The sequence below is a fragment of the Homo sapiens genome, chromosome 18 (assembly GCF_000001405.40).
Source record: "Homo sapiens chromosome 18, GRCh38.p14 Primary Assembly".
Classification (NCBI taxonomy): Eukaryota; Metazoa; Chordata; class Mammalia; order Primates; family Hominidae; genus Homo; species Homo sapiens.
Genome location: NC_000018.10, coordinates 45,670,154 through 45,695,063, shown reverse-complemented (window position 1 = coordinate 45,695,063; position 24,910 = coordinate 45,670,154). Strand labels below are relative to the sequence as shown.

Genomic DNA, 24,910 nt, shown 5'->3' with positions numbered 1-24,910 from the left:
GAGGATTCTGCTGCCTTTTGTTTGGCAATGCCCTGCCCCCAGAGGTGGAGTCTACAGAGGCAGGCAGGCCTCCTTGAGCTGCAGTGGGTTCCACCCAGTTCCAGCTTCCCGGCTGCTTTGTTTACCTACTCAAGCCTCAGCAATGGCGGGCGCCCCTCCCCCAGCCTCGCTGCCGCCTTGCAGTTTGATCTCAGACTGCTGTGCTAGCAATGAGTGAGGCTCCATGGACATAGGACCCTCGGAGCCAGGCACGGGATATAATCTCCTGGTGTGCCGTTTGCTAAGACCTTTGGAAAAGCACAGTATTAGGGTGGGAGTGACCCGATTTTCCAGGTTCTGTCTGTCACCCCTTTCTTTGACTAGGAAAGGGAATTCCCTGACCCCTTGCACTTCCCAGGTGAGGCAATGCCTTGCCCCGCTTTGGCTCATGCTCGGTGCGCTGCACTCACTGTCCCACATCCACTTTCCGACACTCCCCAGTGAGATGAACCTGCTACCTCAGTTGGAAATGCAGAAATCACCCGTCTTCTGCGTCGCTCACACTGGGAGCTGTAGACTGAAGTTGTTCTTATTCGGCCATCTTGGCTCTTCATGTCAGTAGTTTTTTTTTTTTTTTTTTTTTTTTTTTGAGACAGAGTCTTGCTCTGTCACCCAGGCTGGAGTGCAGTGGTGCAGTCTCAGCTCACTGCAATCTCTGCCTCGCGGGTTCAGGTAATTCTTCTGCCTCAGCCTCCTGAGTAGCTGGGACTACAGGCGTGTGCCACCACATGCAGCTAATTTTTGTATTTGTAGTAGAGACAGGGTTTCACCATGTTGGCCAGGATGGTATTGAACTCCTGACCTCAGGTGATCCACCTGCCTCAGCCTCCCAAAGTGCTGGGATTACAGGTGTGAGCTACTGCACCTGGCCCCTATTGATTTTTATTTTATTGCTCTGTGATCTGATAATGTGTTTGGTATGATTTCGGATTTTTTGAATTTGATGAGGGTTGTTTCATGGTTGGTTGTGTGATTGATTTTAGAGTATGTGCCATGTGCAGCTGAGAAGAATGTATATTCTGCTGTTTTTGGGTGGAGAGTTCTGTAGATGTCTGTTAGGCCCATTTGGTCAGGTGTCGAGATTGAGTCCTGAATGTCTTTGTTCGTTTTCTGCCTTGATGGTATGTCTAATACTTTCAGTGGGATGTTGAAGTCTCCCACTATTATTGTGCAGTTATCTAAATCTCTTCATAGGTCTCTAAAAACTTGCTTTATGAATCTAGGTGCCCTTGTGTTGGGGGCATGTCTATTTAGGATAGTTAGGTCTTCTTGGTTAATTGAACCCCTTTACTATCATGTAATGTTCTTTGTCTTTTTAAAATTATTTTTGGTTTTAAGACTATTTTATCTGAAATTAGAATAGCAACCTCTGCTTTTTTCTATTTTCTGTTTGCTTGGTAGATTTTTCTCCATCCCTTTACTTTGAGCCTATGAATGCCATTGCATGTGAGATGGGTCTCTTGAAGACAGCATATACTTTGGTCTTACTTCTTTATCTAGCTTGCTACTCTATGCCTTTTAATTGGGGCATTTAGCCTATTTACATTCAAGATTGATATTTATATGTGTGGATTTGATCCTGGCATTCTGTTGTTAGCTGGTTATTATGCAGACTTGATTGTGTGGTTGCTTTATGGTGTCAATGGTCTCAGTACCTAAATGTGTTTTTGCAGTTGCCAGTGATGGCCTTTCCACATTCAGCATTCCCTTAAGGATCTCTTGTAAGGCAGGTCTGGTGGTAATGAATTCCAAGAGCATTTGCCTGTCTAAAAAGGGTCTTATTTTTCCTTTGCTTATGAAGTTTAGTTAGACTGCCTGTAAAATTCTTGATTGGAATTTATTTTCTTTAAGAATGCTGAATACAGGCTCCCCAATTGCTTCTGGCTTGTAGAGCTTCTGCTGAAAGATCCACTATTAGCCTAGTGGGATTCCGTTTGTAGGTGACCTGCTCCTTCTTTCTAGCTGCCTTTAACATTTTGTTTTTCATTTTGGCCTTGAAGAATCTGATGACTATGTATCTTGGGGGTGGTCATCTTGTATAGTATCTTGCAAGGGTTCTCTGCATTTCCTGAATTTGAACATTGGCCTGTCTAGTGAGGTTGGGGAAATTTTCATGGATGATATCCTTAAATGTTTTCCAAGTTGCTTGTGATCTGTGCTTGCTCGCTCTCATGTGCGTGCTCTCTCTCTTTCTTTCTCTCTTTCAGGGATGCCAGGGAGTTGTAGATTTGGTCTCTTTACATAATCCCATATTTCTCGGAGGTTTTGTTTATTCTTCTTTATTGTTTTTTCTTTATTTTTGTCTATTTTGTAGAACTGGGCTTCAAACTCTCAGATTCTTTCCTCAGCTTGGTTGATTCTGCTGTTAATATTCGTGATTGTATTATGAAATTCTTGAAGTGAGTTTTTCAGGTCTATCAGATCAGTTTGGTTCTTCCTCAAAATGCCATTTCATATGTTATCTCCTGTATTGTTTTATTATATTCCTTAGATTCCTTGGATTGGGTTTCAACTTTCTCCTGGATGTCAATGATAATGTTCTCTGTTCCTGTCGGTAATCTGAATTCTTTTTCTGTCATTTCAGCCCCAGGTAGGGACCATTGCTGGGGAACTTGTGTGGTCATTTGGAGGTAAGAAAACATTCTGGCATTTTGAGTTGCCAGAGTTCTTGTGCTGATTCCTTCTTATCTGTGTGGGATGATGTTCCCTCAACCTCTGAAGTTGCTGTCCTTTCGATGCATGTTTTTTTCTTTGCTTTTCTCTTCTTTGCTGCCCTTGGGGGTTTCATTGCAGTATAAGGTAGGTTCAGTTGACTGGGTTCATTTCTGGAAGATTTTAGGGGCCACGGCTCAGCTCAGCACTCCTGGTGGACTCTAAGTCTGGGGAGTTGGTACCAGGACCCCAGCTTTGTTATCTGGCCCCGTGAGATTGGGAACCTGCTGCATCAGAGGGTCCAAGGTGTTCCTGGTCCATTAGCCACAACCCTCTGATGGGTGGTGCCAGACAAAGTGCTTCTTTGGGGCGGTGGCAGCAGGATCTGTGCTCACTCACGTGTTCTGGCACCTGTGGCAGCGCCGCAGGGTGCTTATGCCTTGGTGGGGTTGGGGTACCAGCAGAAGTCGAGCTGCTGCATTCCTGTGTGCACTTGTACCTGTGGCAGGGTGCAGGTGGGAGCAGGGTTGCCAGTGTCCATGCTTACACTTGCACCAGTGGTGGCAGTGGCAGGGTGCTGGCAGTCACTGGGCTGCTGACCTTCATGGGCACATTCACCTGTTACCTCATTTAACCATTAAAAGAACTACAGTAACAGGCTAATAAATTAGTTCCTTGTTAGGATGTGAAATTTGGGCTCAGAGGCATTAAATAAATTTCCAGGCCCCACAATAAGTGCGTTTCTTAGAAGCTGTGCACTCTCCTGAGATCCAATGTCCCTTTGAGAATCAGTGAGGTGGGGGACAGGCCTAAGCCTGGAAAACTAGATGCCTAGAATAGAATGCAAAAGCCTGGAATGCAAAAGGAGGGCAACGAGCAAATGGAGCATTCCGTGGCTTTTGGAGGGTCTCTGGCGCCCTCTGCTGACAGTGTGAAAGTTTCATAAGCCAAGGAGTGTGCAGCGTGCCCAAGTCCGTTGATCATACAGAAGGATGTGTGAGCATGCAAAAGGGCACAGAAGGTGGGCAGTGCAGATGAAGGGAAGGGACAAAGGTACAGAAAGAGCCATCTTCGTCCTAGGTACATGTAAGTTTCTGTCCCCTATCTCTTTGCAGACAACTGGGTTCACTGTCTCTTAATTTCAAGGAAAAGCATGCTTTTCAAACTTCGATATGCACAGGAATCACCAGGGATCCTGGGCGGGGCGGGGCGGGGGGAGGGGTGCAGTCTGGGCTCCAGCCCCAGTGTTTCTGACTATTAGGTCTGAAGGGGCCTTAGGGATCTGCGCTTTTTAACTACATCCAAGTGAGTCTGATTCAGGTGGTTCTTGGACCACACTTTCAAAAAGCAAAACAAAACAACAACACACACCTTAATATTTAAGTTTAAAAAAATGGACAGTTCAGAAACAAACTAAAATTGTGGCTTCTACATTCAGTTGCTAAAAAACACCCCAGAGGAATTCATAGGTTACTGTGTTATTTCTGCTCTGACCTGGTTGAAGATAAAAGCTACAAGTCTACAAAACACACACACCCCAACCATCCTGTTAGCCGAACTCTCCAAGATGAAATTAAAACAATCCAATAGCATTCAAGTCAGTAAGTCTACTCTTGCAAAAGAATGATTCCAAAACTCGAGGTGTTTGGAAGTGTACTCGTAGAGATGTTAATATGTGGACACACACACACACACACACACACACACACACGCCCTTCTCTGATAAAAGAAGGATAAGTGATTCATTAAAAGCACACTGGCATTAAAGTCTTTGAGAAGCCAATGCTAATGAAAGATGTTAAACTTTATTTGGCTTAATGTACCTGGATCTCATTGGATCATGTGACTTTTTCTTATTTAAAATTTTTTCTTTTGGATATGTATTTAAGATCCATGACTGATGAGTTATGGAAATACTACCTTAAAGCAAGAGGAATGTGAACTAAAGATTTTTCTGGATTCTGAAAAACAATCCCATATGCAAAAAAGAATAGTCTTTTCAATAAATAGTGCTGGGGCAACTGAATATCCACTTGCAGAAGATTGGGGACTCTACTACCATATACAAAAAATAACTCAAAGTGGATCAAAGACCTAAATATAAGAGCTAAAGCTATGAAACTTTCAGAAGAAGAGTTTTGTCTCCTCCCTAGCCTGAGCCCTTAACACTCAGACAGTTTCCATCTCTCCATGGAAGCCCATCCAGCACCCTTTTATTCTCCTCGGATAACAGTCTCAGAACCAGGAGTTCAAATAGTAAGTGAATCAAGCAGCACGGATATCCTGTGCTCAGTAATATGTTTGGTCTCCAAAGTATGTTGTGTTCAAGTAATTATAAGATGAGGTCTTTGACTTTAGAGTTTCCCATCTTGCTGAGCAAATAAGACCCTCCACCCAGGTGGCAGGTGATACCAGATAACATAAAATTGAATGTTGAATTATATGGTCAATATTAAATTTATGTAAAAACTAGAGTTTTCTTAAAGAATGCAGAAGCTTCTAAGACATTCATGAGGGAGGTAAATTGAAGTTTTTGGGGTGTGAAAGGCACAAACCATTTATACGTCCCTCAAGTTATGCCAAATCATATTTCCATTCTTTTCCCCCAGTGTCAACAGTAAGTGGGGTTCCCATGAGCTCCTCTCTGAGCCATTTGGGCGACTGCTGTGATGGTAAGGAGGGAGGGTGGGCATGGGCCACAGAAGCCATGGAGCCAGCTGCAGGTCTGCTGCTGCTCTTGACAGATGGTAGCCACCTGCCTCAATCCCCACCCCCGCAACCCCAGTCCCCGTCAGGGCCTTTCTAGGATAAGGCCTTACAGTGACTGGATTTGCAAGCTGCACACTGACCCATGGCCACTCATGCAATCATGTCCTGGGCTTCTACGTGAATTCTACTCAAATTCCTGTGCTGAGACCCCCTCTGTCTACCCACCTCCTTCAGTTCTTCAGATAGCCAGGAGAATTGGCCTTCTTAAGTCATTTGCGATGCAGGTAAAAATGCAGATACCCCATCACTTACTGAATCCCAATATCTTAGGGTTCAGGGGAGGTGCTAGAATCTGCATTTTGGTTAAACATTATCTTGCTTAGTACCCACCTCCTGGAATTAATTCCAGGCTTACAGGGATGCTGAAGTAGGGGTCCATCTGTCAGTAAATATGTATCCACGTGCCAGGCCTGGAATGGGGGCCATGAAAATACATAATCTGGCCCCTCAGAGGTTATAATGTGTTGGGGAAGATGAGTTATTCACAGGTTGTGGTGTGATGTGTTGGGCAGGAAGCCAAGTCATGGGGGTGCTCCCCACTCACACGCTCATGATTGGGTGAAATCCGGCTAAACATTGATTCAAAGAGCACCCAGGGGAGTATGCAGGGATGGGGAAAAAGCCAGCTACTCTTTCTGCCTTTCTCCAGTAGGGCGTTTCATGAGCTGATTATGAGTAGGGATCTGTCTGGGTCTTTCCTTTGCTCCAGCTGGAAAATCTACAAATATTTTGGTTGTGGGGTGCCTTCCTGGTTTGTTCCAGTCCCTGCACCATGGAGCCTGGGTGTGCTGGGTCTTCAGGATAGAAGGTGCCACCTCTCTCTGCACTTCCTTTGCTCCCTGGGGTGCTTGTCAAGTGAGTACCCCACAAGTGAGGCTCTGTGTATATTGGGGTGTTGTGTTGCTGTCTCATGCTGTCATGGGTGAGGAAGGAGTTTGAAAGCAGAGAACTAGCCCAGGGGGATCTTTGATGCTGCAGCCATGGGAGAGCAAGCTCCAGTTGCCACCAAGAGCTCAGCACAGGACCAGCTACGTAATTCATGGGGCCCAGTACAAAATGTAAATATGATTCATTTGTTCAAAAGCTATTAAGACTTGCAAGACACTGATGGGAGGACAGATGACAACAGAGAAGGCAATGCCTCTCTTTTGCTGGACATAACTTATAACTTTAGTATAACTGTGTCTGTCACTTACTCATTCACTGCGGGAGAGAGGCCCCAGTTAGGGGAATGTACAAAACTCATCGCTGTTCACAAGGAGTTCACAGTCTGTTCATGTTGAGAACCTGGGGCTAAGGCCAAGGAGCCACAGCGGGGCCTGGGAGAACAGGAAGCCAGTCCCTGAAGGCGGCTTGTGGCCCAGGAATGGTGATGGGTGCTCCAGCCACAGCCCAGACTCCCTGTCCTGCCCTCCAGGCTGTCACTTTAATCTTGTGTCCTGAGCTTTCCATCTTGCTGTATGCTAGGGTTAGAAACTAGCTAGGAATCAGTGTCTCTCTGGAAGCTTAAAAACAAGAACTACACACAGATGAGCAGAATAGGATTCACAGGTCTTTAGAGGGGCCAGGAACACAGCTTACATTTGTCCAAATCCAGAGGTTAAGAACTGTATGGTTACAGCCCTCCTCTGACCTCAGGGACAGAGACAATCTCCATTTGACAAAATCATGCTGCCTGGGGCTCCTCCCACTTGAGAGCTCTCTAGAGAATCTTCTCCCTGCAGCCCTGCACAGAGCAGCACAGCACAGCACCGAGCAGCCCCCACACCTTCTACTGATGGGGCCCCCTGGGGAGCTTTGGCAACCACCCCGGCCTGGGCCGCCCCTAAGGTTCTGATAGAGCTAGTCTGGGCTGTTGCCTGGGCCCCAGGGTTTGTAATGCTCTGCTGCCCGACTTGCCCACCTCCCCGCCCCATGACACCCCTTGAAACTACTGCTCAGGCCATGCCGTAAGAGACAGGTGGACCCTAGTGACCCAGACTGACCCATCAAGAAGCAAGCACTGGGGAGAGGAGTGAAAGCCACCCCATCCCTCTCCCAGCCCCAGCCCTGGCCCCACCAGACAGTTCAAAGAGGGGTGGAGCCTCACCCCATGGCAAAAACTGCTATTTTTTTTTTTTTTTTGCACTCTTCCTGTTACAGTACCAGCTGGCCGCCAGCACCTGCTCTCTACATGGCTCCATGTTCTGCTTTTCTCCACCTCTTTAACCCCTGACCACAGCTGTCTGCCTGCACAGGGCTCCCTGCATGGCTGTCTCAGTGGAGCTGCTTTTCTACGCCCACTGCCTGCCCATTGGCTTGCCCCCTTGCAATAACTGCTGTCATCACCATTTCCCAACTTCCACCTTCTGCCCCCATTCCAGGCCAGCCCTTAACCCCATCCTACCTGCTCACAGGGCACAGCTGCTGCTTCTCACTGGGGCCATGCCTCTGACCTCTAGCCAGCTCTGCCTGTGTCTGTGGTGCCTGACTGAGAGCAGCGTGGTCGGAGGGGCTCCGGACAACCCCCTGCTCCTCTTTTCTAGGGCCAAGGCGCTCACTCAGCAGGCTTCTAGGTCTAGGGCCAAAGCAAAACCTTGCTTTTGTGCTCAGCCTACTGAGCCGGATGTTACTGGTTAGTGGTTTTCTTTATCTAGTCTTCTTTGTGGTGCAGGGTGAGTCCCCAACAACAGTGAGAAAGAGAGAAACTTCACTTTAGAGGATTCTCTGTGCTGTCTGTGCTCCTCCTGCCTCAGTGCTCAGTGCTTCTCACTGCATCTCCTGGCAGGTCTACTACCCCTTATGCAAACCCACCTGGGAACTGAGGATGGGGACTGGGGTTTAACGGAGTGCTGAAGAGTGACTCAAATTAGAAACAGTTGGGGTCCAAGAAATAGGCAGCACCGTTGTTTTCCTGCCCCAGCTGCATGTTAGAATCACCCCAGGAGCTTTAAAAAAATTACCTGTGCCCAGGCCCATTGCTGGCTTAATTGGCCTGAGGTAGGGCCTGGCATCAGAATCAGAGGATCCTGATCTAACCAAGAGTAAGAACCTGTGCAACGATCTCTGGACCTGGATCCAGCCGCATCTGTATCATCTGGGAGTTTGTTAGAAGCTCAGATTTTTGGTTCCACCCGGCTCTAGTGAATCCAAATCTTTGAGGTTGAGGCCCAGGGATTTGTGTTTTAATAAGCCTTGCGGATGATTCTTAGATGCACAACCAGTGCATTACAGTATACAATGAAAGGGAAATAAATCAGTGGAGGCAGCATCCTATTTCTAAGTCTATCTCGTGGGTCTCAAAGTATGGGACCCCTATACCCACAGCATCAACATCTGTGGGGAACTTGTTAGAAAAGGAAATTCTCAGGCCGTGCCTCAGGTCTACTGATTGACAGTCTTGGAATAGGGCCCACTAACCTGCATTAAATAAGGTCTCTAGGTGATTCTGATACATGCTTGAGTTTGAGAACTACCAATCTCCCATCTATCTACCTGCCCCTCACCTGAGACCATTACATAGTTTAAATGTCTGAATAACAAAGGCTCTGTAAGGAAAGGATGGTTGCAGAAGACCGTTTGCAAAAGAGGCTTGAAGCTATTGCTCATAAAATGATGGAATGCTGAGGACTAGATGCCGTGCACTACTCTGAAAATTTCTTTCCCTGAACCCTACACATGTGTTTTGGAAGGAGGCTACAGGCAATAAGTTCTGGAGGCAAGTCAGTTGGCCTAGTTGAGAGCGTGTGTATCTGTTATAAGGACGTTGTGTGCGTGAAACAGTTTTCAAATTCCAGCCAATAGAGTCTATTCTCTCTACGGAACTTATTCTGTAGAGAGAATAGAAAAGCATCTCCACTGAGACAGAGGGGTAGGAGGGTGTTTCAGTCAATTACTCAGTTACTATTTCTCAGGGCTATTATGTGCCATCAATGGGCTAGTTCGATGAAGGAAAAAAAAAAACAACTGTGCATGTGTGTGTGCATGTTTGTGTACATATATGTAGCACACATTCTGCTCCACCCATTTAAAAAATTTTCCCAACAATTGAGTTAATCATGTGCCTTGGTGCCCAGCATATCTTCATGGGCCCATACGAGGCCCCTGTCTGGAATATATAGGTGTGTATGTCCTTTTATTTATTTATTTTTTTGAGACAGAGTTTCACTGTTGTTGCCCAGGCTGGAGTGCAATGGTGCGATCTCGGCTCACCACAACTCTCCCTCCTGAGTTCAAGCGATTCTCCTGCCTCAGCCTCCCGAGTAGCTGGGATTACAGGCATGCACCACCATGCCCAGCTAATCTTGTATTTTTACTAGAGATGGGGTTTCTCCATGTTGGTCAGGCTGGTCTCGAACTCCTGACCTCTGGTGATTTGCCCGCCTCGGCCTCCTAAAGTGCTGGGATTACAGGTGTGAGTCACCGTGCCCGGTCCTGTCCTTTTATTTTTATACCTCACTCCCTTTTCCCTCTCACATTCCTGTATACTTTTTTGTTTGTTTGTTTGTATGTGTGCTTGTAAAACATGTGTTGGTGTATTGTGTGCATGCCCAGATTTGTAGTTTGCTGATGTCTGTGATGTAAATACTCCCACCATGGCCGGTTTCAAGCTATCAATGTGATGTCACTGAATGGCATGGGGAGAAATGTGCTCACTTGTGCAGTGGACTCTCAGGAACTGATGGAGCCGGCTGCAGCTCTCCACTGTTGGTGCTTAATTGAAGTGCTGGACTAGACTAGCTACTTTGGTATTCTGTAGACCTTGTATATTTTCATAGGTCAAATTCTTCTACCCCATCTATTTCTACTTTGCTTAGTATCATGGGCCAACTTAACTTGCTTTATAGGTGAGGATATTGAAATACTTAGAACAGCTGAAGGGTTTTATTCGTGGTCAATAACAAGAACAGCATGCATGTGAAGGGTTTCCTGCTCTTAATAAAACCAGATTATAACACTTTGGTGGAAAATGCATGAAAACTGGTGCTTTAATAGTTGTATGTCATCATTTGGAGGTTCTGGGGCAACTGAGTGAGCTGTGAGCATAAACAGCCTTCTGGTGAAATTCCTGGATGCTTAATCCTCAGAGACCACTAATTCCACGGTCATTAAAATACAGCCTGAGACCTTCTTGGCCTCAAGGTGTGATTGCAAACTCAGAGGTAGCCTCTGGAGTGTGACTCGTTTGCTTTTTCTAGGTGGAGGATTTGTTTCCACCCTTAAGTGCTGCATTTTTCTGGAGAAGTCATATGGGCTAGATATGATGTGGAAGAGAAATATGCCACCCAGTGCTCTTGGGCTGCTAAAAGATGGCCAGAATCTTGGGGGCAGACCAAGAAAAGGCAAACATAGAAATTAACTTTTTCCAAATGATGGATTTGGTTAAATGTAATTCTTAAAGCTGTGGTTATAGAGGGTCTGTCCCCGCCTCTCCTTCCCCACATTCCCTCTTATGTCCTCATCCCCATGACACTAAACTGGGAGTGCATGTGTGCTTGGAGGGTGGTGGGAGGCACTGCTATGGTGCTATGAGAGGTTCATTCCCCTCTGGAGAAGGCGTGGGAAGGTCAGGCCACATGGAGTTCCACAAAGAAGGTTTGTGGCTTAGGAGCTTGAAACTATAACCAGAGTGACTGAACAAGGGTTACTGGCCACTCAAGACTGGCTTGATTTGTAATTTGGGGGCACAAAGCTAAAAGACTCTACCCTAAATAGTGAGATGTGTTATTAACAATCTGTGCTTCAACTCAAACAGAAAACCAAGTCCAAGGTCATTTCTGTGTAATTCGCTCCATAAGCAAATCAACCCCTGTTCTGATGATTTTGAGCCCATCCTTGTCTCTTTTCAGGCACATGCTTGACCATGGAAAACCCCTCAAGTGAGCAATGTATGAACCTCTAGGTGAGCCCCGTTTTAAGAAAACCCTGATGCCGACTTGCAAACTTAAACAGTTTAATGACAGTATGATTATGAATATTACAAAGGGAAACACATTTGTTTATAATATGATTTGAGTGTTGATAAAGATCAGTTTTCATCTGACACTTCCAGAAATATTTCTGTAATGTAAAGGAAAGCACATTGGCATTTTCAGTGAATTTAGGTTCCTAACCCCACGTCTGGAGAGCATTTTCCTATGACTCAAGAATAAAACTTTATAGAACGTTAACATTTTCCTGCCTCTTCTTGGGTAACCCTTCTGTCCTTTACTTAAATTACTTGTTGTCATGCTGATTTCATCAGATTATAGGAGAGAGAGAATAATCAACACTTCTGAGGTGGAAAGGACTTTCAAATCCTTCCCTGTCATGAAACTGATTAAGAAATGGAGGTGGAGAGTGGGGAAAGACTTGCTCAACCTGGTAGGGGCTCATTAGCAGCAGAGCTGGGGCAGAACCAACCCTCTTGCCTTCCGGGCTAATGCACAGTTCTTGGTATTGTGTTTTGCCATATTAAATGACCGAGTTGTGTGATGACCATGTCACTGACCTCTATCCCTTTCTTGGTGACTTCCCCTTTTTTTTTTTTTTGAGACAGAGTCTCACTCCGTTGCCCAGGCTGGAGTGCAGTGGCGTGATCTTGGCTCACTGCAAGCTCCACCTCCCGGGTTCACGCCATTCTCCTGCCTCAGCCTCCCAAGTAGCTGGGACTACAGGTGCCCGCCACCATGCCTGGCTAATTTTTTGTATTTTTAGTAGAGATGGGGTCTCACCATGTTCGCCAGGATGGTCTCGATCTCCTGACCTCGTGATCCACCCGCCTCGGCCTCCCAAAGTGCTGGGATTACAGGCGTGAGCCACCGTGCCCGGCCGGTGACTTCTCTTTAAGGATGAGGCTTATTTCGCAGAAGAGGGCAAGTTCCCCACAAAGGGAGCTCTTATGGGAAAGCTAAGGGTATAAAGTCTAAACTAAACATATCTTTGATAAGTGTTGTGCATCTTAGAAAAGAGAGGTTCTGGAATGGTGACTACATACACGCTTCTTTGTGTTTGGGGAGAGAGTCACAGAACAGACCAAAGGGAAGGCTAAGTGGTCTCTTATCCTGGGGATCTGGACGGCGTGCTGAAGCCTGAATTTACACTGATGTGTTTTAGACAGGGAAACTTAGGAGACATCGTAGGCCTGATACTTTGTTATGATTGATGCCCTTCTGTTTCTCTCCTGGGACAGGTAGTAGATGCGGTTGGCCTCTGGGTAGGTGACTTTGCTGAGCGGGAGCTTGTAGATGGCGGGGTTATTGGTCGTCAGGAGCAGGAAGGTGAGAGCTGAGAGACAGAAGGGCCAAGTGCAGGGCGGCAATCCAAACTGGAGAGAAAGAACACAGATAAGCCTTGGTCACATCAGGTGCCTGTGCATTTTAATCAGCCCTTATCAATCACCTACAGCCCTGGGGACATGAGGGACTGCTTTGAGGGCATTGATACTTCATTGATGACCAATATAAATAAAATCATGCCAGTGCTATTCATCTGCATTGCAACAGGTGAATGCACAGTTTTCAAAATGCAGCCACTGGGAACCCTAATAGTTGGGCTAATATGCCCTTATGTAGAAGTCATCAGAACATAATATGCCTTTTGTAGAGGCTGTGTTTTGTCAGAAGCTATGTTTCTGGCCAGGTTAGACTTCTAACTCTAGGAACTATGGTCATCCTGTGTCTTCTCCCATCAGCCCCTGTTGGAGAAGTGTCTTTGGCAGCCATTTGGTAGCTCAAGATGTTTTCTGTTTGGTCATAGCTGATTGGACTAGAGATAGGCACCCAACTCAAACACTGCTTCCTATAGGCAGGTGAAAGTGCCCGCTGCCAACAGAATCCCTCTCTTGAATAGTTGAACTAAGAGGCACAGAGACTGTGTCTACAGGGTTCTGGAACTGAAAAAACTGGGGAACAAACCAGGGATGGGTGGCCATTGGGGGATGTGTGCAGTAGAAGTAACCCGTCAGAGAGACACAGGGAAAGTGAGCAGAGAGATGGAGAGAGGCAAAGATGTGTCATCATTGTCCTATGGAGCTGGAGACAGAGCACAGCTGCCTTTCTTCTCAAGGGCTCTCCAATCTCCAGCTCTTTTTCTCTTGATGTTGACCTGTTTTTATTTCTTGAGATGCTCTAAGGCTTTTTAGTACTCTTCTCCACTCTTCATTTGAGATAGCTTGAATGGATAGTTTGCTAACAATGAGCCTGCAACTTCAGTTACGAGGCACATCAAATATGCCCCCTCTTGCCAAAACATCATCTTATTATAAGCAGTAAAAACCTCAGGGCCGGGCGCGGTGGCTCACGCCTGTAATCCCAGCACTTTGGGAGGCCGAGGCGGGCGGATCACGAGGTCAGGAGATCGAGACCATCCCGGCTAAAAACGGTGAAACCCCGTCTCTACTAAAAATACAAAAAATTAGCCGGGCGTAGTGGCGGGCGCCTGTAGTCCCAGCTACTTGGGAGGCTGAGGCAGGAGAATGGCGTGAACCCGGGAGGTGGAGCTTGCAATGAGCCGAGATCCCGCCACTGCACTCCAGCCTGGGCGACAGAGCGAGACTCCGTCTCAAAAAAAAAAAAAAAAAAAAAAAAAAAAAAAAAAAAACCTCAGATACTACCATGGGAGTAACAATGCCAGTCATGTGTGTGTCCAGAGATGGCACCGTTGGGTGCGTCTTGGGGAACAACAAAGACAGCCTGCTACCAGAGCTGGGTCTGTAAGGGGCACCCATGAGTGATGAGTTCCATTCAGCGAGTCTTCCAAAGCCCCACTAAGACTGCACAAAGTGTTTGGGAAGCACCCTTGGAGTCCTACATTGGAAAGGATGTTGGTTTGGATTTCCACAGTCCAAGAACCGAATCTCAGTTCTGATCACCTTGCTATGGCCATTTAATCTTTCTGAGACCTCAATAGCGAAATAGGAATAATAAAGCCTACTTAGAGAGTTGGTGCCTCTAGTGTATACCAAGTACTCAATACAAATGATCCTAAATATGTGGTTATTATCATCAAACAGATGGCAGCATTGTTGAAGACATGAGGTTGTATATACATGTGCCACTTAGAAAACAAAAGAGTACAGCTCCTATGTGCTCTTCTGAGGAGAGCTTGGATGGTCCCATAAATGTCATTCAACATTTTTATTTCCTGTTCCTCGATGACATTGTGGGAAATTCCTTTAAAGTGAGTTAATAGCCTGTACTTTTTTATATTCCGGAGAGTGGCCAACACAATGTCTTAAACACAGTAGGCAAACTAGGTAAACTTGATTTTGTTTTGAAAGATGTCTAAACTGAATAGTCTAATCTGTAACTTCTCTGAAAACAGAGAGAAAGGCCAGTCATCACTGTAAACATCCATGATCAGGAATCGCAGCTTCCTGTTTTGCATTTCTTTCAGTGACTTGTTCAAGGAAGGCACATGGCACGGATTTAGTGGATGAATGACTGGGTGAATGGATGGGTATAGTTAGAGGCTGATAAAGCCTGAAGGGAGCCTCAGAGCCAATACTTCATGCCCTTATTCCCCCTCAGAGTTTCTGATGCTTCGCTATTCAACCCCGGTTCTAAAACACCCTGTCATAGAGGCTCACTATCTTAGGGCTTCATTCATCCAGTATTGCTTGAGCACCTACTATGTGTTGAAGACTATAACAGATACTGGAGATAAAGATAATATGATGAGGTCCCTGTTCCAAGGGAGAGGACTGGCTGAGGGTAGAAGAAGACCAATGAGTACTAGACTCATCACAAAACTGTACGACATCAAGTATTTAGCCGAGGTGTGCACAAATACAATGAAGCCCAGAAAAGAGATTCAGTTCACTGGGGAAGACGGGATAGTATCAGGGAAGGCAAATTCTACTGCTTAGAAAAATTCCTTCTTATGCTAAGTCCAAGCCACCCATTTTTACTAAAGGTGAGGGAGAGATCTAGGCAGGTGTTACTAGAATGCCCACTCCCTCCTTATCTGCAGGATCACCTGGACTTCTTGTTGTCCATGCAAAGTGTGCCCTTTTACCCTTATCTGACAAGGGGAGGCACCAGCTGCAAGTGGAGCCCTGAGCCCTCTGCACTGGGGTTGGGGGCCAGCATGGGCTCCTCCTGACCTCACACATCACCCTACACTGGAGCCCAGATGAGGAAGGGGTTCCCAGACTGTGGCCCGTGACTTTAAGCCTCAGCTCTGGCTTCTGTCTCGCCTGGTTGGGGTTTGACTCCCCTTATTCTATGGAGGGGAGCTAGTTAGTTGCCGTGGGGCAAAGATATATGCTGGCTCACAAGCTAGCTAGGCAGGCACACACAAATTAAATAATAAAGATTTAAAAATAGTTATAGAGGAAGATAGAAAGGAATTTGATTTACAAGATAATGCTCCTCAAATTTCCTCTAAGGAGTTCCTGGCCTACTGATGATAGGAATGGATTGGCCCACAGTTGAAATGTAAACTTTTGGGGCCTGGCTCCCTCTGCCTAGCAGGTGCTGAAGTGAGTAGTGTGACTTGAAATAAGGGAGATGAACTGGGGAAGAGTTCTTAGAGGAGAGAGGTTTTCAGCAGGTTTGGGGAAGCCAAGAGGACACCAGGAAGGATGTTGTAGGCACGTTCTGAGCCTGTGTTGACTCACCACAGATAACATGTTAGCCAGGGCAGCACCCAGGTAGGCAGCAAACAGTGCTAGAAAAAAAAAAAAAAAAGAAAGAAATAGACCAGTAACTATTTAATAGCACCTCAAGATTGCTCTACATATTCTCTTCCCATCAATTTTATGCCACAAATGCTATCTCTAAGATTTTTTAAAAATTTGAGTTATGTTTCCATTGCTTGGCAGCTTTAAAATTGTTAAATTCCATGCAAATGCTGGTGCAGCAAAGACAGCAGATGAACTTGTTAAAAAGGGCCAGAATTGAGCTGTTATGGTTCTCTTGGGTCCCACCACCTTGCATTCCAGTAAAGGAACATTTAACAGCATAAACCATAAATGAAAATTTTACTATACGGCAAAGGCAAGTGAATCCCAGAACTCCCTACTGGAATATTTCATCACAAGTTATTAACATAATATGGGTTTCTAGGGAAGAGCAGCGTTCTGAAAGCTTGAGGAAGACTAGACATGCCCAGTGCCTTGTCGTGTAGGCTCTGCAGAAGGCATGACGAGGCTGGCCACTGGGAATGAGCCCAGTGCTGGCAACAGGGGAGAAGCTATTAAAATGTACTAGTGTAATTGGCCTTTGCTTCCAAACCCTTCATTTCTCGCTGAGAGCATCCCAATTGTCCTTAGGATTATATTAACAAGAGTTAACCTTTATTAGTGTGTTATTGTGTGCCCAGCTAGTAGCAATACTACCATAGCTTTCAGCATTCCTACAGTGTAAGCACTATTATCGTCTTCATTTCACACATGAGAAAACTGAGGCTCAGAGAGGTGAAATAATATGACTGTTCAGCCTATATTTCAGTTGGAGAAGCCCCTTTTGTTTTGGAGGGGAGATTCAAGGTGGAAGAGTAGATGAGATTAAAGAATGAGTTACACGACTGGGAGTGGCGGCTCACGTCTGTAATCCCAGCACTTTGGGAGGCTGAGATGGGAGGATCACTTGAGCCCAGGAGTTTGAGACCAGTCTGGGCAACAAAGCAAGATACCATCTCTACAGAAACCAAAAACATTAGCTGGGTGTGGTGGCATGTGCCTGTAATCTCAGCTACTTGGGAGGCTGAGGCAGGAGGATGGCTTGAGCCCGGAAGTTTGAGGCTGCAATGAACTATGATCATGCTACTTACTGTGATCTAGCCTGGGTGACAGAGCAAGACCTCATCTCAAAAAACAAACAACAAACAAACAAACAAAAGAGAATGAGTTAAATGAGTTACATGAAGTAGAATGTGGGGCTGTCAATGGGTTTCATGGGTCACACCAGGCAGCTTATTCTCTGAGAGCGAATAGGAGCCCATGCCGTCCTTTGTGTTTGCTGAATCCTCATTAATTAACATACATCATTTAACTAGAGATAATAGAGGTCAGCACTTACTGGACATTCCCTATGTGTCAGCATTATTCTCATCATTTTCACAAATGATCTAATTTGATCCTGACAACAGCTGTAGGAGTTGGGCACTGTTAGTATCAGGCATGGAGAGTTCAAGCAACTTGCCCAGGATTACATGGCTAACAAGTGGCGGAGCTCCAGCCATCTGGCTCTGGGAGTGGGCTCTTAATCAGCCTCTCAGATCTGAGGTTGGAAAGAGAGAGGCAAACCAAGCACTACCAAGGCCCCCGAATAGAGGGGAGCCAGATGGCCTGAGTGGGACTCTGGGCTTGGTCTGTGAAGAATGGAAGACTCCAACTCCATCCATCTTCCCTGGGACCCAGAGCCAAAGGATTCATTCTGTCTCCCTCTTCCCCCACTGATATTTGCTATTTTATCAAATCTGGTGTTATTACTAGCAGGAAAACCCTCCGAAAACCCCGTGTGGGCTCCTGTGTGGCTATAGGGCTTGCAGAGTCGGGAGAGAGGAGGAAGGATAGAAGAAAGAAGACGAAATGAGACATGCGGCCTGCCTGGGCTGGAGGGAAAACTGTCTGTCTCAGGTGATGTGCCGAGCAGGCAGTGGTGGAAGGAACCTTTGCAACAGGATGCCTGGCCACCTGGCCTGTCTTATCCATCACTGACTGTATGATGTTGGAAAAGGGCCTAACTGTTCTGGGCTTGGATTTTTTTACTGGTAGAAAAAGCACTGGCTTCAGGAAACAGTGTGGTGTCCTGCAAAGAGCACAGCCTTTTACAGTCAGGCAGACCTGACTTCAAGTAATGTATTTAGCTTCCTTTAGCCTCATTTCTCCATCTGTGAAATGGGGATATTAATATCATCCACACACTTTATGGGGCTGGAGGGAAGATTAAATGAGATGACCTGTACCAAGGTTTCACAGCTCCAGCTCCATGGACACTTTGGATGGGGCAATTCCTTATTCTGGGGGTGCCGTCCTGTGTATTGTAGGGTGTTTAACAGCGTCTCTGGATTTTACCCATTAGATGCCAGTAGCACTTCCCCCAGCCTCAGGTATGACACAGAAAAATGTCATCAGACATTGCCAAATGTTCCTGGGGAAGGGGAAAATTACCCCTGGTTGAAAACCACCCGTGTAACATCTGACATAAATTGGGCATTTAAGATTTGTTTGTTAAACATGAATATCCCTTAGTGAATAAGTAGAACTTGGAGTTGGTAGCCAGGGATATCCTGTAATGTCCTTTCCCAGCTGGTATCCTAGATGTCCTTGTCCTCTGAGACTCTGGACAGAAGTTATAGCTCCACGGTCTGGACGCAGCCACCTCCCCACCGGGCCACCTGCTCCGATCCTATGTGGAAGTCATGGGCCACTAAGAGAGCCTAGAGTGGCACAGTCTTGACTCTGAATCTTTAAAAACTTCAGGACTCCTTGACTTCTCATTTCTAGCATTCAGACTTTTAATTTTTAATGGGATGAGGCCCAAACCAATTTAATAATATAAATGACGACTGATTTTAAAGATCTCTGAGCATTTAGAATTTTTGCCATTGGGACATTTTTATGGAAGGAAGGAACTTAGGCATAGGTCTAGTTTCAGGTCATGTAAAAATGCTGGCCTATTAAGAAGTTAAAGTTAATTTAAATTAAAATATTCACAGTGACATTTAATTCCAGTGGGGCTGTTCTGTCTGCTGAAGGAGCTATCATTCCCTCCTGCTCTCACTGCCTCCTGGTTGCCTATCAATGGGCCCTACGCACAAGTAAGCTTGACTACGTGTTCCAGGTTTTCTAGATGGCCTCAACTTCTTCTTTTCATTGAACCTGTACAAACATTTGTTTGTGAGGCTGAGTGGGCAGATCACTTGAGCCCACGACCAGCCTGGGAAACATAGTGCAGCCCTGTCTCTCCAAAAAAAAAAAAAAAAAAAATATATATATATATATATATATATAGAAATTAGCTGGGCATGGTGGTGCATGCCTACAGCCCCACCTACTCAGGAGGCTGAGGTGGGAGGATCACTTGAGCCTGGGAAGTTGAGGCTGCAGTGAGCCGTGATCATGCCACTGCACTCCAGCCTGGGCAACAGAGTAAGACCCTGTCTCAAAACAACAACAACAACAGTAAAACGCCCCCCAAACTCCACTTGTATGTGTTATAGACTGCTTTCCCATTTTTGGTCTATACGTACATCACTGGATGCTTCCAGGTCTTTCTTTAACTTGTAGAAGGAGGGTTGACTCTACCTCTGCCCACAGGCAAGTCCTTTTACCTCCCTTAGCCTCAGGCACCACGGCTACAAAATAAAGCTGGAGTTTTCAGCTTCTAAAAATGATAAAATGGAGTAATATTTGGAAAAGTATTTTGGTGAAAACCAATAAATGTTAGATATTATTACTGTGTAGTCTGTCTAAAAGTTCAAGGATCCACCTACAGGGGCTTAAAATTCACTTTAGTGTATTCTCATGTTTCCTGAGATCGTCAGGCTCATTGGCACTTTTGGGAGATGATGTGACTCAGTTTCCTTGAAACCAGTGAGTGCACCTTGATTTATCAGAGGCTTCTGGAATAGAGAGAGGTGCCATGCTGGGAAAGGGGGTGGGGAGTTTAATGAGTTCGGATGGAGGAAGACCTAGCTTCATGTCTCAGCCTTGTCTTTTACACGCAGTTGAGCCACTTCACCTCTTTGTCAAGGCTGGGACTTGGGGAGGTGAGTGAAGCACCTGGGGTGCAAAATTTCAAGTGGCCTTCACTCTCAGGGTCATGGGGATATGTCAGGGTCATCACCTGCTTGGCCCTGAGAGTAAGCACCTCCTTAAATTTTGCATCCCACGTGTCTCCCTTGTCTCACCTTAGTCTTGCTCTTTGACACAACTTTTCCTCGTTTGCAAAATACGAATAGTAATACCAACCTTGAGAATTAGTGTTAAGGTAGAGATGACGTATTTAAAGTGCCTACTTTGTGGTGGGTGTTAGGTGAATGGCTACCTTTTATTTGGGCAATATGACAGCTACTTTTTTTTTTTTTAAGTAACTACAGTGTGCTGGCCTTAGGTTGGTGTAGCAAAAAGTAATTTTAAGAAGAGCAAATGAAAAAGACAGCAGCTTTACCCTTCGTATCTTGTTTAGAGTTCGTAGTCACTGTCATAAAATGCAAAAGAAAATATATCTACAAATTATCTTAAGGAAACAAATATGTGGCCATAGCTGATCCAGAACATCTTCCCGAGCAAGAATATTTGGAAAATTTTTATTATAAATTTATTTTTAAAAATAAGTTTATATAGATAATGTTCACAGAGTCTACAGATGTATTGAAATAGAACTTCTGTTTTAAATGTTCTGCTCAAAAGGAGTTTTGTTTGGTTTCCAGTCATATAACATCAAGAAATAAAGGATGTTCAAGGATGAGGACATACAAATCTACCAACTTGTTACAGTCGATCTAATTTCCTGGGACTCTGAACAAATATATAACAAAGAGGAGTCATTTGAAGGGTCTGTGGTTAATGTTTGAATGCTTAAGGTGAATCGCTGTAGAAGACGTAAATCACCCAATTCCATATGTAACGAGTAACCTGCATAAGAGTTGCTCAGCCAGTTTGCTCCAACCCCCGCCAGGAGAGTAGCAATCACAGGAGACAGCCCAGGAACAACAATCAAACCTCCACCACCGTCTTCATGTGACTGAACGTTGAGTATTCAGTGAAAATAGTGTTTAATCTATTAATTACTAAATAACCATTAAAAAACATAAAAAAACAGTTTTATGTAAAAAGCCTTTTATAAAGGAAACAAATCCTCTGTGGGGAGTACCTACCGCAGGCGATGGCGAGGAGGTGCGTCTGCCAGGTGATGACGTAGAACATGCCTCCTATCGCTATGCATGCGAGGGTGCTGTTGAAGCCACACAGGCCGAAGTAGATGGAGTCAAAGGGCGTCGCAATAGTGAGTGCTGTGACAGAAGGCAGGCATCAGGGTTGGGTCTAGGGTCTTATGGGGCCCATCTGCTGGCCCTGAAACCTACCACAGTCCTCAAAGCCCGGAGCCAGTTATCTTCTTAGGTAGTTATACAAAAAGGACTTCTGGCTTTATTCTGTGAAAAAACATCTAAAGGAAACAAATGGCCATAGAGTCCCATGAATACTAGCAGTTAAGCTGGCATGGGTTGAAGAGATTCTTTGAGTAAGGACAGAAGTCTGATTTAAACAGTCCAGAGAATATCCTTCCCCTGCCAAGAAAGAGAACCTCTCCTCCTTCATCGATACCTTAATTCTCTAATGGAGAACGAATCTTTCTTGCTGTCATTGCAGATCACTTAACATGTAAATATACCTGGAAGAAACTTCCCCCAAACTTTAAATTTATACTAAGGTGTGAATGACTAACACCAAAGCCTTTCTTGAGGGCAGCTGTGGCTCAGGGGAGGATAAAGGGGCTAGATCAAAAACGGAGAAACAGGGTACAACAGAAGGAGGGAAAGTTCACAGGAATCAGCAGGTGGAGTGTTGAAGATGAGAGTCACCATTTTATTTGGAGCTGGCCCCAGGCTCTAACCCCCTCACAGCCCAGGGAAGTGAGGACACAGACCTGCTAGCATCCCCATGGTGGATCCAATTGCTGCATGCAAGCAAATGAGAGGTGAGGATATGAACAGAGCTATGAGGAAGATGCCTCCAGTCCAGGGGTTATCACAGCCGTACACTTGGCCAATTCCAACGGGGATGGCTCTCAAAAGCTGTAGGCATAACAGGATTACATGCTCATTATGGAGGCAAAAGAGACAACTTGACCTTGGCTGCAAGAGACTTGGCACTGAACCCTTCCCACTAACATTTTGCAATGGATGTCCAGGATTTTTGTTTCTATTCAAATAGGTTAACTTTAACAGGAACAAAAGCTTTATTATCTTAATCTTGAGTTCTTAGAACACTGATGGATTAGGATGTTGAGTTTCCTTTATTTAGAAATATGAGCGTGAGGCATTTATCCCTCAGGGAAGAGAAACTGAAAACCTTTCAAGGTAGGGTACTATTGATTAGAAAAGTAATATATGTCTGATCAAAGTTGGGGTTTAAAAACCCTTTGTGAATTTTTTTTTTTTTTTTGAGATGGAGTTTCGCTCTTGTTGCCCAGGCTGGAGTGCAATGGCGTGATCTTGGCTCACTGCAACCTCCGCCTCCCGGGTTCAAGAGATTCTCTTGCCTCAGCCTCCCGAGTAGCTGGGATTACAGGCATATGCCGCCATGCCTGGCTAATGTTGTATTTTTAGTAGAGATGAGGTTTTTCCATGTTGATCAGGCTGGTCTTGAACTCCTGACCTCAGGTGATCCGCCTGCCTTGGTCTCCCAAAGTGCTGGGATTACAGGCGTGAGCCACCACGCCTGGCCATGATTTTTTTTTAAAGCTAAAAAGATGATGAGAAGGTGAAATATTAGACAAAAAAATGGCCCTGTGTGTTTTCAAGTACAACATGTTTGGGGTGTGATTTTGTTAGTAAGGTCTGGAGGAGGAACTCGACTAGTATCTACAGGAGCGGCCAGGAGAAGGTAGTATCGCCCAGCATCTGCTATTTTGATTAATAAACCCCCAGGGCACCCTGCTTGATTCCGTGCTCCATCTATCTCTGGGGCTGGTGGGGCCTGTCTGTGAATGGAAAAACACTTGAAAAAGTCTGGTGCCTTGTGGGCACCTGCACAAAGGTCCGAGAGTTTGGGAAGAGGATCCTGGAAATGCGGGCTTCCCCAGCCACAGGGACTGTGTTTTGGAGGGTCTAGCCAAGGCCCATGGGCAGGAAGCTGAGGAGAGGCAGTGTCCTGGGGCGAGTCCCTGTATATAGATTAAGGCAAGGACGCTCTTCTCTAGAGAACTCTTCCCTCTGCGCGTGGCCGGGGAGGGAGATCCTGCAGCTCGGGGGCCCTCACGCCACAGTGAGTGTGTACAGGAGACAGGCTGAGTGGGTTAGGCTTTGGGCTTAGTCTCCTGTTACCCAGGGCAGAGAACAGAATGAGGGCTCTGGCCTCACCATGCAGGGCAAAGGGGACAGGCGAGAGAGAGTTGCACATACAGAAGCAGCAGCATGGGCAGTTTTGTCCTCAGCCAGTTGCACCCTTCAGAGGGCTCTCAGTGGTCACAAGAGCAGAGGAAGCCGTGGGGACTCAACATTGCTGGGAAGTTTAGACAATCCCTCTGAAATTCACCACTTATTTATCAGAAACTCAAGGCTCTAATTTTAAAGGTCAAAAAGACAAAACATATGAGTCATTGTCATAATCCATTCAGTTGGCCAGAAAGTTACTTCTTAAAGAATAATGCCACAAAATTGAATTTTTCTTTCCTGGAACACTGGTGGAGTGGTGGTGGTGGTGGTGGTGGGTCTCAAGTGTTTGTACAGGATTATTCATTTTTTTCCATTTCTATAAAATTTCAAAATTTCTTCTCAACTGAAACTGTGACATATAGAATGCAATATCTAAAATCTGCATTTTCTGACATCATTTCCCCATAGCATGCCACTTAGAGCAAGTTTGTCTCCAAAAGATATTAATTGGGTAGACTAAGAACGGGCAGCTTAAGAAGCTGAACTGCCAGCACAGCACCTTTTCTTGTTTCTGGTCCAAGAAGGTCCTCACACACACAAAATGATCAAGGATCCGACTAACACAAATAGTTCTCAGCCAGGTGTAATGGTCCACGCCTGTAATCCCAGCACTTTGGGAGGCTGAGGTGGCATGATCGCTTGAGGCCAGAGGTTTGAGACCAGCCTGGGCAACAATGACAAGAGCGATCTCTACAAAAAAATATAAAGAATTAGCTGGGCCTGGTGGCACATGACTGTAGTCCCAGCTACTCAGAAGGCTGAGGTGGGAGGATCCCTTGAACACAGGAGTTTGAGGCTGCAGTGAGCTGTGATTGCGTCACTGCACTCCAGCCGGGGTGACAGAATGAGACTCTATCTCTGAAACAAAAACAGAAACCCCAAAATCGAATAGTTTTCTTGCTAAATACTGGTGCTTCTCAGTGTAAATTCAGGGCTCTTTCTACTACACCACGCTGTTGCTTACTGTGGAAAGCTAAGAGAAACGAGGCATCATTATTTTAGAGAAAGTTCCTTCAACAAGCCCAAGTGATTTTGTGGTCAGATGATGAGTTGCCAATAACGAAGTCTCAGAGTGAGCGCCAGACTGTGGAGCCGTTTCGTGTAACGGAAAGTAGGAGGGCCTTGGAGAAAACGTGCCTTGTTAGATAAGGTGGCTGGCTAATAGGCACATTTCTCTAGGCTGACTTAATACTGTGAGTGCAGCTTCTTATTAATCACCTTGGCTGACTTCCAGAGGTCAGGATTATATACAGAATACTTATTAAAAAAAACTTTAAAAGCTCTGTTATATGTTTCTTAATGAAAGAACACCTGTGCTTTAAAACCAACAGCATGGTGTAGTAGAAAAAGCCCTGAGTTTACACTGAGAAGCACCAGTATTTAG

General features: G+C 45.5%; 1 protein-coding gene and 1 long non-coding RNA gene across 7 annotated transcripts in view; one reads left to right on the top strand and one right to left on the bottom strand.

Annotated features, from left to right (window-relative positions):
- Positions 1-24,910, top strand: part of LOC105372093 (uncharacterized) — a 176,501-nt gene that overhangs the window by 87,773 nt on the left and 63,818 nt on the right. The window contains exon 7 of the long non-coding RNA XR_935423.3: positions 2,624-2,669. This is a non-coding gene — a long non-coding RNA (uncharacterized LOC105372093). The remainder of the gene's footprint in view (positions 1-2,623; positions 2,670-24,910) is intronic.
- Positions 11,376-24,910, bottom strand: part of SLC14A2 (solute carrier family 14 member 2) — a 515,726-nt gene continuing 502,191 nt past the window's right edge. For all 6 annotated transcript variants that reach the window (NM_001371319.1, XM_024451270.2, XM_017026016.3 and 3 more), the window contains 4 exons: positions 22,017-22,164; positions 21,247-21,381; positions 16,040-16,089; positions 11,376-12,745 (listed from right to left, as the gene is read on the bottom strand). In NM_001371319.1, coding sequence (NP_001358248.1) covers positions 12,545-12,745; positions 16,040-16,089; positions 21,247-21,381; positions 22,017-22,164 — 534 coding nt within the window. In that variant the 3' untranslated portion in view covers positions 11,376-12,544. The remainder of the gene's footprint in view (positions 12,746-16,039; positions 16,090-21,246; positions 21,382-22,016; positions 22,165-24,910) is intronic.